Raw genomic sequence first — 13,186 nt, 5'->3', positions numbered from 1 at the left:
TTAAATGTGAATTTTCATATTTTTACTTTCACAGGGATATCTTAAATTACTATTTATAAATTCTTGAAGGGAAGCTGATTATTGCTTCCTTGTAATAATAATAATTATAATCATGGTCACCATTTTTTGAGCAGTTTTATATAATAAGCACCCTGCTAAGGTGCTTCTCATTTGTGCTGTCATTTAATCCTCACCTTACCATGTAGGTACAAGCATTATTCCTATATAATAAAATGGTAGGTCATATATATCTATATATATACATACATATATATGTATATATAAATATGAAAGAAACACATTAAGTATCTTGCCAAAAATCATATAGCAACAATGTGGCAAAGCAGATTTGACCCAGGCTGTCTGATTTTAGCGTTAACTCTCTTAACCACCATGCAATATTACTTTTGACATTTACTGACTACAAAAATGAAGAGCAATATTACATATTTGTGTTGGCATTATTTACTATTCTACCTATGCTGAATAATTAAATCAGTATTTCCTTTTACACAGTAACTCTCTTCAAAGGATTCAAAAATTGAATTCTTACAATGCCATGGAGCCAGCATGAATGAGAAGAGAGACTTGTTCAAAATAACTGTGTTAACTTCTCCCAAATTCTAGTCTGAGATAATATAGGTAGGAAAAGAGGTGACCGATATTCTTTCGCCCAACTTCCCTGCAGAGGTGTGACAGGACAACATTTTGCTAACATTTTGACCACCTGTTTTTGTTGCAGGAGGCCGAGGGGAGGATGGCGCCCCCATCATCACGTTCCCAGAGTTTTCGGGGTTCAAACACATCCCAGATGAAGACTTCCTGAATGTCATGACCTACCTGACTAGCATCCCCAGGTGAGCTGAGCACAGTGTCCTGCCGCCTTAGGCACTGGCTTTATTCCACACTTCCCATGTGGCAGGGCTGGGTTGAGACATATACTTCCATGAGCATGGTGTACCCTGGTATGCATAATAACCCAGCTGGCTTCTGTCACCCATCAGTCACGAGCAAGGAATGTGGAAAGGGACTGGAAAACAATGACAAACAAGCCTCAGTTTTGACTCTCTTGTGCACACAGGAGGGACAGAGTAAACATGGTCGGGTGGATGGAAAACTGAGCAGCTGTGTTGCCTTTGTTCCTTAGGCTATTGCTTTATTTTCATTTTTTATTTTTGAGATGGAGTCTTGCTCTGTTGCCCAGGGTGGAGTGCGGTGGCACGATCTTGGCTCACTGCAACCTCCGCCTCCCGAGTTCAAGCAATTTCCAGCTAATTTTTGTATTTTTTTTTTTTTTTCAGCAGAGAGGGGTTTCACTATGTTGGCCAGGCTGGTCTCGAACTCCTAACCTCAAGTAATCCGCCTGCCTCGGCCTCCCAAAGTGCTAGGATTACAGGCTTGAGCCACCGTGCCCGGCCTAGGCTGTTGCTTTAGCTAAAGGTTATTCTGGCTTCCTGGGTCGCGTTGTCTAGGACACATGACCCTTGTTTAGGGAACTCCAACTGTGTCAGGAGTTATTTCTCTCTCCGAAATAAGAAAATTAGGGGCAGATTGTTGTCATTTGCATTGTCAGATGGAGAAACTAAGGCACAGAGCAAGGAAACTACAAGGCCAGGGAAAAAAACTGTGCTTGTAGCTGAGCCCATGATAGAAATGCTTTCTGGCATCTTCTTCCACCCTCTCCAGCCTGGGCCTCAACTCTTTATGCCGCTTAAATCGGTATGGGCCCAGGTCTTCGAGGGGATGGAGTGTGGGCAGAGTCCACATTGGTCACCACCATTTCACAGACCGGGGCAGAGCGGGGTCTAAACCCCCTCCTTAGGCAGTGCTGTGTCCACCTCCAGCAGAGAAGACTTGGTTGGGAAAGGCCTTCCCTCCATGGGTTTGCATTGCTTATGAGCCCCCACCCCTCCCTTGACTATAGTGTGGTTTAGAATGTACACAGTGGCCAGGTGTGTGGTATTTTGCCTGCTTTCCACCTGCCTTCTATGATTTAGAGGTAAACAGCAGCTTTGTGACTGAGAGGCTGCCTGGCGTCTGATACCACTTGTGGAGATTAGGAAGTTGATTGCTTTAACCAAACCCACTTGAAAAATATGTTTTTTCTTTTACACCTTTTTCTTTAGTTTTTTCTTTTGCCCATCTTATTTCTTCAGAGAAGGTTATGGATTTATTTTGAATGCATTTCTTCAAAGTTAGTACTTAAATATATTTCATCAATTTCCTCCTTTCCTCCTCCCTGCCACTGCCATATGCCACGCGTTAATGCAGATATAAGGATGTGGGGAATCCTTTGTTGCTGTGAGGGAAAGACACCACACCTGTCTCACGGCTTTGCTCAGGTGTTTCTCTGTGGCACACCTCTGCCCCTCTTCTAGGCCTGACTCATGCACATTCATCAACCCTCAACTCTGACCTCATCTCTTCGATGAAACCTTCCTTCACCCCAGTTCTGCTTTCACAGAGTCTTTTTTTAAATTTCCACAGAACCCCGAGGTTTACCTTTGCCTATGGAAGTTATTTGTCTATGGAAATTATTTCTGCCTCTCCCAGTAGACTGTGAACTTCTTAAGAGTAGGGGCCAATGCTTTGCTTTTCTTCTCTTTCGTTTTTAAAATCTCCAGCCCTAGCACAGTGCCCAACACCTGGTTGGTTCTCAAAAGTAATGTTGGTAGAGTTTTCAGTTTTGATAATGAGTCATTCCAAACAAATGGTATTTGTTGTAGGGTGATGAAGGGGTTAAAATATGCTATTCTGTACTATGCGCCATAAAAAAGAATGAGTTCATGTCCTTTGCAGGGACATGGATGAAGCTGGGAGCCATCATCCTCAGCAAACTAACACAGGAACAGAAAACCAAACACCACATGTTCTCACTCATAAGCAGGAGTTGAACAATGAGAACACATGGACACAGGGAGGGGAACATCACATACCGGGGCTTGTTGGAGGGTCGGGGACGAGGGGAAGGAGAGCATTAGGACAAATACCTAATGCATGCGGGTCTTAAAACCTGGATGATGGGTTGACAGGTGCAGCAAACCACTGTGGCACATGTATACCTATGTAACAAACCTGCATGTTCTGTACATGTATCCCAAAACTTAAAGTAAAAATTTAAAAATGCCATTCTGGAATATTGACTATTTAAGTTAAAAGCACTTGAAAAACAGCAGGTACAAGAATATCACTTTGACCTTTGTGCTGTTTCTTAAGAGGAGAAGATGGAATTCCTATGTGAAAGACACTCTCTAGGGACTAGAAGGAAAGGTAACTTAGAGAATATTGCACAGACCTTGTTAGAAATTCTATTTTTTAAGCTTCCCCACATAATTTAGTCACATTTTCATAGTTTATTATTCTTTGTTCAATCCAGTATAGAAGTAACTGACTCTAACTGATTCTTTGGGTCTTCATTTCTTTATGAGGGCTCTTGTGCCATGTAAAACATTTATGAATAAATGTCTATGCTTTTCTCATGTTAATCTGTGTTTTGTCGATTTAACTCTTGGACCCAGCCAGGACCCTAAGACAATAGAGGTGAAGTTTTTCCATTCCTACAGTGAGAAGGGGGACCCTGACGGAGGGGAACCCCAGCTCTTCATTCCTGCCTTTATCAACCTGGGTTTTAAGAAGTTGAACTTGAACTCTGTCTTTGGCCCAGTGGCATTTCAGGACAATATCCCATCAGTTTAGCAACTTCTGTGGGAGCGGCAAGGAAGAGGGTGAATAGGGATGTAGACAATAGGAGGAGTGTCCCCTGTCCCCATTCTCCTTATATTTGTTTTAAATTCGATGTCTAGTTTTACTTAATCCCCAGGGATACAGTCAAATGCTAAGTTAAATGGAGGATTTTCCTTTTGCATTTGCAGCCTTTTCCAAATCACGCTGAAGATAGCTCAGCCCCCCGGACTGTGTGGCAAGAAGCAGGCAGGGTTATCACCCCTATCTCACAGATGGAGATGAGGAGATCAAACAGGGGCTTCTGTTTTGGATTTCTTTGTTCTACTGTAGGCTCCTGGTACAATTTCTTGTGACCTAGGGAATATTTTCTTTTCCTAGAATGCTGTTTGTCTTTCGGGAAAGAGTGGCTGTCTGGCCAGTTCTTCCCCTCGCCTTTCTTCTTCCGCTTTTGCTCACACTACTTGCTGCCCCTCCCCTGTTCCTTTCCACAAAAAGTGGAGACAAAGGGTGAGAAGGCCTGAAAGGGGAACTTGACTTGGACCTATGTCTAATTTCCATGTCAGATTTCAAAGAATGAAACCACCCTTGTTCGTTTTATGACTCCTGTTTATCACAATTTGCATCTTTTTGTACGTTACATAGTTATCCAGTACCAGAGTCCTTCCCAATTGCAAAATGTTTTATAGACAGGTGGCAGAGGGCTCGTGGATGGATAAAAAAGAATTGATACACTAGAATAGGAAAATGGCAGGATACTTGGGGTTGGGAAATGCTATCTTTGTGCCTGAAATTAATTAGGATCTCGCATTGTGAGTGGGTTGGGCAGGTACAGAAAGGCTTCCCACAGTAATTCATTCTTCAGCAGACCTCTATGAGAGCCCACAGCATGTAGGGTGCGGTGTACGATGCTGTAAAGGACTGAAAAACCTCAAGACGATGTCTCAGACCGCAGGAAACTCATTACATGACTCTGTTATCAATATCTTTTGTGAAATATGTAAACAAAGTGCTATAGGAGCTCAGAAAACAGAAAGTCACTTCGACAGGAAAAAAAGGGAAAACTTCAGGAAAAAAGGGGGTTTCAATCCAGACCTGTAAGAGAGGGTTCTTGGATCTTATGTGGGAAAGAAGTCAAGGAGAGTCACAAAATGCAGTGAAAGAAGCAAGCTTATTAGAAACTACTGTTACAGAGTAGGGTGCCCTCAGAAAGCAAAAGGAGGAACGCATTGACTTTAAGTTTTTCTTATATAGGGATCTTGTCTATATAAAGATTAAACTAAGCTGTGCCTATGTGCGGATGGGCAGACAGTGTGACAAAACTTATTATTCTATTGATTTAAAGAAAACTATCCTTGACATTTTAGTGTGTGAGAACATCAAAGCATAACTATAATTTTTTGAAAACATATATTGTTATGGTATTGGGACATCTGGACTTTCTGTTGTTGTAGTATCCTTAGGCTGTTTTCTCAACCATAAACATCTTATGACCATGGGTCCTGGTTGGCAAGGAATGTGCCTTGTTACTCTCAAGATGGAGCTGAACTTAAAATTGTGTCACTTTCACTCTCCTAGGCTCCTGCCTCCCTAACAAAATGTCCTTGAGGGGATGGTACAGTTGCTACAGATAGATACAGAAGGGAGCATTCCAGAGAGAGAAAAGGATAGTGTTGAAGAGCTTTGAACACAGCCCAAACCTGGATTGAAATCCAGATCCTATTGCTCACTAGCTAGGTGGTCTGGGGCAAATGACATGGCTTCTATTTTTTCTTTCTTTCTTTCTTTCTTTTTTTTTTTTTTTGAGACGGAGTTTCGTGCTTGTCGCCCAGACTGGAGTGCGGCAGGGCAATCTCAGCTCACTGCAACCTCCGCCTCTCGGGTTGAAGTGATTCTCCTACCTCAACCTCCCGAGTAGCTGGGATTACAGACACGCACCACCACGCCCAGCTAATTTTTGTATTTTTAGGAGAGACGGAGTTTCACCATGTTGGCCAGGATGGTCTCAATCTCTTGACCTTGTGATCCGCCCGCCTCAGCCTCCCGAAGTGCTGGGATTACAGGCGTGAGCCACTGCGCCCAGCTGACCTGGCTTCTATTTCTATCTAACGCAGGGTCTGAAGTTTTCAACAGAGCATATTTGGGGAATTACAGAGCATCCCAGTTCACCAGAACAGAGTGAGGCTGCTTTTCAGACAGTATTGAGAAACGAGGGCTGGAAAAAGTTGGAAACAGATTGGGCAAGGCCTTTACCCCCAAGTTAAGGAGTTGAGGCACAGTGAGCAGGAAGAGGCCATTTTCCTGCAAGAGGGTTTGAGGAGCAGAGTGAGGAGCAGATTGATCTGGTGGTGGTGTGTAGGATGGATTGGAGAGAGCAGGAAAGGGAGGCAGGGAGACCAATTAGGGGATTCTACACTGAGACAGGTGCAAAACGAAGAGGGATGATGGCATGAGAACTGGATAGGAAGGGATGGACAAGAAGACAGGCACTGGGGACTGGTGGAGGTCGGGAAGGAGGAAGAGGGAGAAGCTACGGAAGACGCTTGGTTTTAGGAGCCTTACAATTATCTCGTATTACTCTAAGTCTGGTGTGTGGAGTATTCTGTGTGGAATTCAGGCCTCATTTTGGGTTTGATGGTCTCATCGTGATTTATTTTAAAACTTTTTCTAATCAAAGCCATGCTAAGACAATGGTTCTCGACCTCAACTGCATTTTAGGATTGCCTAGGGAGATTTTAATTCCCAATGTCCAGACTATAATTCAGATGAATTACATCAGGATTTCTCGGGGTGAAACCTGGATTTTCAGCGGTGTCTAAATCTCACCGGTGATCCCCATGTGCAGCCAGGGATGAGAGTGTCTGTGCTAGGAGCGGATAGGGAGAAGCTATGGTGAGACAGAACAGACATTTGAGGGGTGTGAAGAAGAAAACCTGGAATCCGACTTAGCTTTTGGATAAAGTGAGGTGGCAGTGAATGTGCAGAAATTGAAAGTTGGAGGGAGGGCTGTTCCCACGTCCTTTACTTTTGCTATCACAGTTCTGTATTTCTTTCCTTAAAATCAATATATAAAAAGATTCAATTTCTTGAGCTTCCTTGACCCTGGAATTTCTTTGTGAATTATGTATAGTACTGTACATAAGGAACTATTGAATTACAAACCTTCCCACATGAATCTTATGGTATTAAAATAAATAAATATTCAAAAATACACAGAAATCATTACCACATCTCTATTCTGTTTCCAAAAACAGCTGAGGGCCAGTTTTAGCCCATCAGGTGCCGTCTGCTATATAAATTGTACTACTAGTGGTTTTCACAGTCCAGCTTATAACAATAGCACAATAAATCCTAGTGGTCACTTTCTCAGAATGTAAGATATCGTCATTTAAAACATGTCACCTGTGGCTACAGAGTAGAGCCAGATGGTCTGAAAAGACATTAGTAAAATATTCTGAGCCACAGAGATGGAGCTGAACTTGGGTCACCCTCAGTCTCCTAGGCTCCTGCCTCCCTAACAAAATGTCCTTGAAGAATGGGACAGTTTAACTGCGTTTCAATCATAGTTGTTGGTCCTACAAATCAACATTTGTATAACTAAGCATGGATATTTATCACTGTGTTTCTCTACTTAGTTTCCTTATTTTAACTTCCAGTTCTGGGTTCATTATTAGAAACGGATTGGAGAAAGTACTTTTATTAGATGGTACAAGAGCAGTATTTCATATCAATGGTTAATTTTGTTATTGTTTCTATTTCTTTCTTTCTTTCTTTCTTTTTTGAGACCGAGTCTCATTCTGTTGCCCAGGCTGGAGTGCAGTGGCGCAATCTCGGCTCACTGCAACCTCCGCCTCCCAGGTTCAAGTGATTCTCCTGCCTCAGCCTCCTGAGTAGCTGAGACTACAGGCACGTGACACCATGCCCGGTTAATTTTTGTATTTTTAGTAGAGACGGGGTTTCACCATGTTGGCCAGGCTGGGATTGTTTCTATTTCTAAAGGACTTTTCTATACGGAATCTGTTGAGGGACCTATTTAAGTTAGAGTAATTTTTCTACATTCATTTTCCTCACATACAGTGTGATGAATAGTCTTTGGTGTTCGTTGTGTCCTCTTTTTATGATAAGTGGCCTAAAATGGGGTCTGATATTAGTACTCTAGGAAGGAATAGGAGAAGAATAGTGTTATTATTTGGCCTGTGAATTGTGATGAGACTTACTCCTTTGTATTGAAAGACTCAGTGGGATTATAATAACTACTCAGCTTTAGAAACCAGCCTCGTCAGAGAAGTGAGTGCAATCTGGGCCTCTTACTATTATGAAGTGTGAAGGGAAAATAAATCTCAGGACCCCCAAATCATTAAGCCAAAGGGTAGTGAAGCTGGGAAGTGCATCAGACAAACCTGCCTCCCATTTTATTCCTAAAGAAGATAGCTACAAAGATAAAAAAAAAAAAACGATATACCTCCCTAAAGATAAAAAATACTATATACCTCCCTCACAATTTGCCCACAAGGAATTCCTCGTGGAAAAAAGACGGACAGTACTCAGAGTTATCCCTCTGCCCCTGTGAAACAAACGCCTATCTGATTGCTTCCTCTGCCCTCCTGTTTCACTAAGCCAAACTGAGGCATAAGTGACTATTCCTCTACCCTCTTCTCACATGTAAATTGTGTATTGTGTAAAAGGCTAATCAGAGGCCGGGTGCGGTGGCTTACACCTGTAATCTCAGCACTTTGGGAGGCTGAGGAGGGTGAATCACTTGAGGTCAGGAGTTCAAGAACAGCCTGGCCAACATGGTGAAACCCCATCTCTACTTAAAAAAAAAAAAAAAAGAAAAATTATCTGGGCCTGGTGGCATAAGCCTGTAATCCCAGCTACTTGGGAGGCTGAGACAGGGGAATTGCTTGGACCCAGGAGGCGGAGGTTGCAGTGAGCTGAGATCACCCCACTGCACTACAGCCTGGGTGACACAGTGAGACTCCGTCTCAAAAAAAAAAAAAAAAAAAAGGCTTCTCAGAGACTCAAAAGACTGCAACCTTTTGTCTCTTATCTACCTATGAACTGGAAACCCCCCTCACCCGTGGAGTTGTCCTGCCTTTCCTGAATGACTAATGGACATCTTACGTGTATAGATTGATGTCTCACGTCTCCTTAAAATGTATAAGAGCAAGCTGTGCCTCCAGCACCTTGGGCACTTGTTGTCAAGACCTCCTGAGGCTGTGTCACAGGTGCGACCTTACCCATGGCAAAATAAACTTTCTAAACTGATTGAGACCTGTCTCAGATACTTTTGGGTTCACAGAAGGCAATGGAAAATACTGTTTTTCAAGTGTCTAAACAACATTAACGAGCAAAAGTGCTGCTTTGATGGAGTAGCTGGGGTGAGGTGTGGTTTTCGCTGGACTGGCTGTGGAACTGTGACTCAAAGGGTCAGGGAGATGAATTCATTCATCTGACTCATCAGGATGTACATCCAGAGTGTACAGTCACGAGTACAGAGTGTACTTGTCAATCCAGAGTGTACAGTCATGTGGGCAGCTGTGTTGCCCAAGGAGGGTAGATTTGCTTCAGAGCCCTCAGGGAGGATACCAGAGAGGCTAGATTTTGGGCACCCAACTGAGGCCTGAAATCAGAAGGCACTCCTTGGTTTTATTAAGAGTAAATGGTGGCACTGGCAAGTAAGTCTTACATGTCACGAGAATTTAAGTAAATTGTAGTAAAGGGCAGGAAACAAAGTTAATATGCCAGGCTCTTGTCCTTCTCTATTTAAAAACTAGGGGTCTGATGTTACTTCTTCCCAGTGGAATGACCTCATATGTGTATGATGGCTTTTCTTTGTTCATTTGCCTGGGTGATTGTTTTAGAATACCTCCTCACTGTTCTGCCTTTGCGTCATCTATTCTGTTTTGTTCAGATAGAAACCCACGTTCCATCTTTCGACATTTCAATTTAGATTGCTTCAGAAATTCAAAACACAACTTTTGCTTGAATTTATGAGTGCTAATGATTGTAAACATCTGGAATTTGGTCTTAGTGGAATTCTTGATGCATGATTTTTCTTCTTGGTCACTTGGCAAGCCAGAGACCCTGGGCCTTGCCCGATGCCCCACCCGGGCATTGCTCGGCCACACTACTGAGGCCCAGCTCACCTGTGTTATAGCTTGCATCCGCATCTGCTGGTTCCACACGACAGTGTAGAAGAACAATTAGGAAAGGGTAGGTATATGTAAAATACATGAGGGGTGGGGATCCATCACAGGAAAGCTCGACAAATGGGAAGACAAGTTCTCAATCCGGTCTGAGGATTTAACTTGTAGCTTGGCTTTCAGGCTTTAAACTATCTTCGGCTTGGAGAGGGGGTTTCACCGGGGACCTGCCCATATCTGCCTGGGCATTTGGCTGCCTCCTGCCACTCTCATGATCAATTATAAAGATGATAGCCACATACCATAACAAGCAGCCTCCTCTCCTATTTATTATGTGATATGGGTTGTTACAGTGAAGAATTGAGATGAAGTTGGAGAAGTTAGTGGGTGAGCGATTAGCTATAAAATTTGTGAATGTTGCCTTTTTAAAATCAAACTTTGGATGTAGAGTAGACAACTGTTTGCCACGCCCTTCAACATTTATTATGCAATCAAGAAAGTTTTCCAAGACTATGAGCCAGAGAGGGCTTGACTTTTTACTATTTATTTACTATTGTCAACTAAAGAATGAGGAGGTTCATAAATTTGGAAAGGAGAGCTTTATTTCTCATAAAGAGTTCCAACCTGCAGGGTGACCATTCTGACAGGCTGGGAAGCATAGCCTCCTGCCAGAAGCTGGAAATGGACTCTTCAAGAGAGGGTCTAGAGGGAACAGGAATTTATGTTGAGCAGGGTGGCCAAATATACTTCAGTAAGCTATAGGAAGAGTCTGAATATTTATACAAGGAGAAACGTGCACACACACAATTGAGCTTCTTGCCCCTTCATGGGTCTCATGTACAAAAAAATGGCAGCATTAGCATGATCTGAGGGTGGAATATTTGGCCCTCTGATGTCAAAAAGGGAAGCAGAAGACATGAAAACCCTTACTGCACATTCTCCATAGACTGGCCAGAACCACTCTGTGATCAGTGGCCTCTTATCAGGCAAAAAAGGAGAAGCAGTGTTGGGTGGTTGGTTAATATCAGTGGTAGAGTCTTTTGAAAGGGCTGGTTTCTGTGAAAGCCTTAGGGAAGAAAGCCTAATTGTGGTTAGCAAGGGAGGGGGATAACGAGGCGTGTAAGACTGCTCATTCCATCATGGCCTAGAACTCGGTTTTCAAGGTTATTCTGAAGTTCCCTTGGCTAAGAGATGGTCCATTCGGTCAGTTGGGGGACTTAGAATTTTATTTTCAGCTTACACTATTTATTAAGTGACTTTTTACTATTATTTACTATTCTATTGTGTCAAGAATATGGGGAAGGATTCTAGTACCACTGCCAGAATTAGTCCACACACTTCTTAAAGGATTCTAAGCATTTGCACAAATACCTTTCTGATTGAATAATCTTTATGAATTTCATGGGTTCATAAAGATTATCATCCTCACGGAGATGATAAACATGGCATCAAATTTAGTAATGATGTACATTCAGTATTATCAATCAGAGTAGTCCAGGTCAGAGGTCGGCCAACTTTTTCTGTAAAGAACCAGAGAGGAAAAATATTTTAGGCTTTTGTTTTGTTTTGTTTGTTTGCTCTGTCGCCCAGGCTGGAGTGCAGTGGCACAATCTCGGCTCACTGCAACCTCTGCCTCTTGGGTTCAAGCAGTTCTCCTGCCTCAGCCTCCTGAGTAGCTGGGATTACAGCCACCTGCCACCACGCCTGGCTAATTTTTGTATTTTTAGTAGAGATGGAGTTTCACCATGTTGGCCAGGCTGGTCTCGAACTCCTGACCTCGAGTGATTTGCCCGCCTCGGCCTCCCAAAGTGCTGGGATTACAGGTGTGAACCACTGCACCAGGCCTATTTTAGGCTTTTTGAGCCATAGTGCCTCTACCTCAACTACTGAACCCTACTGTTGTAGCTCAAAAGCAACCATAGACAATACTTAAATTGGCTGTGTTCCAATTAAACTTTATTTACAAAGATGAGAGTGGGGTGGATTTGGCAGATGGATGGTAGTTTGTTGGCCAGTGGTCTAGATTAGTGGTTCTCATGCATTAGGACACAACAGAATCACTTGGAGGACTTTTTAAGACACAAATTGCTGGTCCCAACCTAAGATTTCTGATTCAGTAAGTCTAGGGGTAGGGCCAAATAATTTGCATTTCAAACAAGTTCCCAAGAGATGCTGATGCTGCTGGTCTGGGGAACACACTTTTTGAACTGCTGGTCTAGTCCAAGCTCATTTACAGAGGTGGATATTAAGACTATGAAGAAAGAACTTGGGTAAACTCACAAGCTGGTAAAGGAAAAACTTAGGGCTTGATTAGGATTTAGATTTTCTGGCCCCTGGCTCAGTGCTGTTCCACCATGTCATGCAGTTTTCAAATGATATAATGGTGGTTAGCTCCATGATACTAACATGCATATTTATGTCTGTATTTCTTGATTCATCGACTTTAGACAGTATCTTGTGTTTCTTTACTGTGAAAAATGAGTTTTGCGTATTATGATGCTTTCTCTCACCTCACTCTCTCTCATTCTCTCATTTTTGTTAGTTACATTGTTATTTTTAGATCACATACTGGTGATCTAATTGAAACAACATACTTAACTTCTTTTTGGTGATCCAGCTACCTTAGATAGTATCTGTTGATTTTCTACCACGTGTTTCCATCTTTCTCTATGCTTGTCCTTCATGTTCTTCTGCCTATTATATAATGTTGCTAAGATGTAGAATGTATTTACATTTATTCTACAAATAGATTCTTTTTGTCTGACTATAGGTTGATTTTAAGTAATAGACATCAGTAGGCCGGGCACAGTGGCTCACGCCTGTAATCCCTGCACTTTGGGAGGCTGAGGTGGGTGGATCACCTGAGGTCAGGAACTTGAGACCAGCCTGGCCAACACGGTGAAATCCCATCTCTACTAAAAATACAAAAAAAAGTAGCCAGGTGTGGTGGCAGGTGCCTGTAATCCCCAGCTACTTGGGAGGCTGAGGCAGGAGAATCGCTTGAACCCAGGAAGCAGAGGTTGCAGTATGCCTAGACGGCGCTGTTGCACTCCAGCCTGGGCAACAAGAAAGAAACTCCATCTCAAAAAAAAAAAAAAAGAAAGAAAGAAAGAAAAGAAATCATTAAAATGCATTTATATGCATTCTGTGATGTACATTATGTATACATAATAGATTGGACCTCTCAAGTGACAGTTGTAATCCTGTGTCATTAAACCTGTATCACTGAAAGGAGGAAGCTACAAATGGTAAAGTAAAATGGGTTCTCTTTCCTTATACCCCATCAGTTACTCAAAATCATGCCATAATTTAATTCATTTCAGAGTCAGACAATGACTTTTTTATGTGCATTTTCACCT

General features: G+C 42.5%; 1 protein-coding gene across 5 annotated transcripts in view, besides 2 other annotated features; it reads left to right on the top strand.

Moving 5' to 3' along the window:
* The window catches only part of MCF2L2 (MCF.2 cell line derived transforming sequence-like 2), a 250,579-nt gene that overhangs the window by 48,466 nt on the left and 188,927 nt on the right, over positions 1-13,186 (top strand). For all 5 annotated transcript variants that reach the window (NM_015078.4, XM_017005943.3, XM_017005945.3 and 2 more), the window contains exon 3: positions 743-857. In NM_015078.4, the coding sequence (NP_055893.4) occupies positions 743-857 (115 nt within the window). The remainder of the gene's footprint in view (positions 1-742; positions 858-13,186) is intronic.
* Positions 2,639-2,688: a silencer, noted in NCBI's record as "silent region_14939". NCBI's record gives its function as "represses an Ori minimal core promoter by ATAC-STARR-seq in GM12878 lymphoblastoid cells {active_cell/tissue: GM12878}" and the evidence as "EXISTENCE:reporter gene assay evidence [ECO:0000049][PMID:35858748]".
* Positions 2,739-2,798: a silencer, noted in NCBI's record as "silent region_14938". NCBI's record gives its function as "represses an Ori minimal core promoter by ATAC-STARR-seq in GM12878 lymphoblastoid cells {active_cell/tissue: GM12878}" and the evidence as "EXISTENCE:reporter gene assay evidence [ECO:0000049][PMID:35858748]".

Source organism: Homo sapiens, chromosome 3 (assembly GCF_000001405.40).
Source record: "Homo sapiens chromosome 3, GRCh38.p14 Primary Assembly".
Lineage (NCBI taxonomy): Eukaryota > Metazoa > Chordata > Mammalia > Primates > Hominidae > Homo > Homo sapiens.
This window is presented reverse-complemented; position numbering and strand designations above follow the sequence as displayed.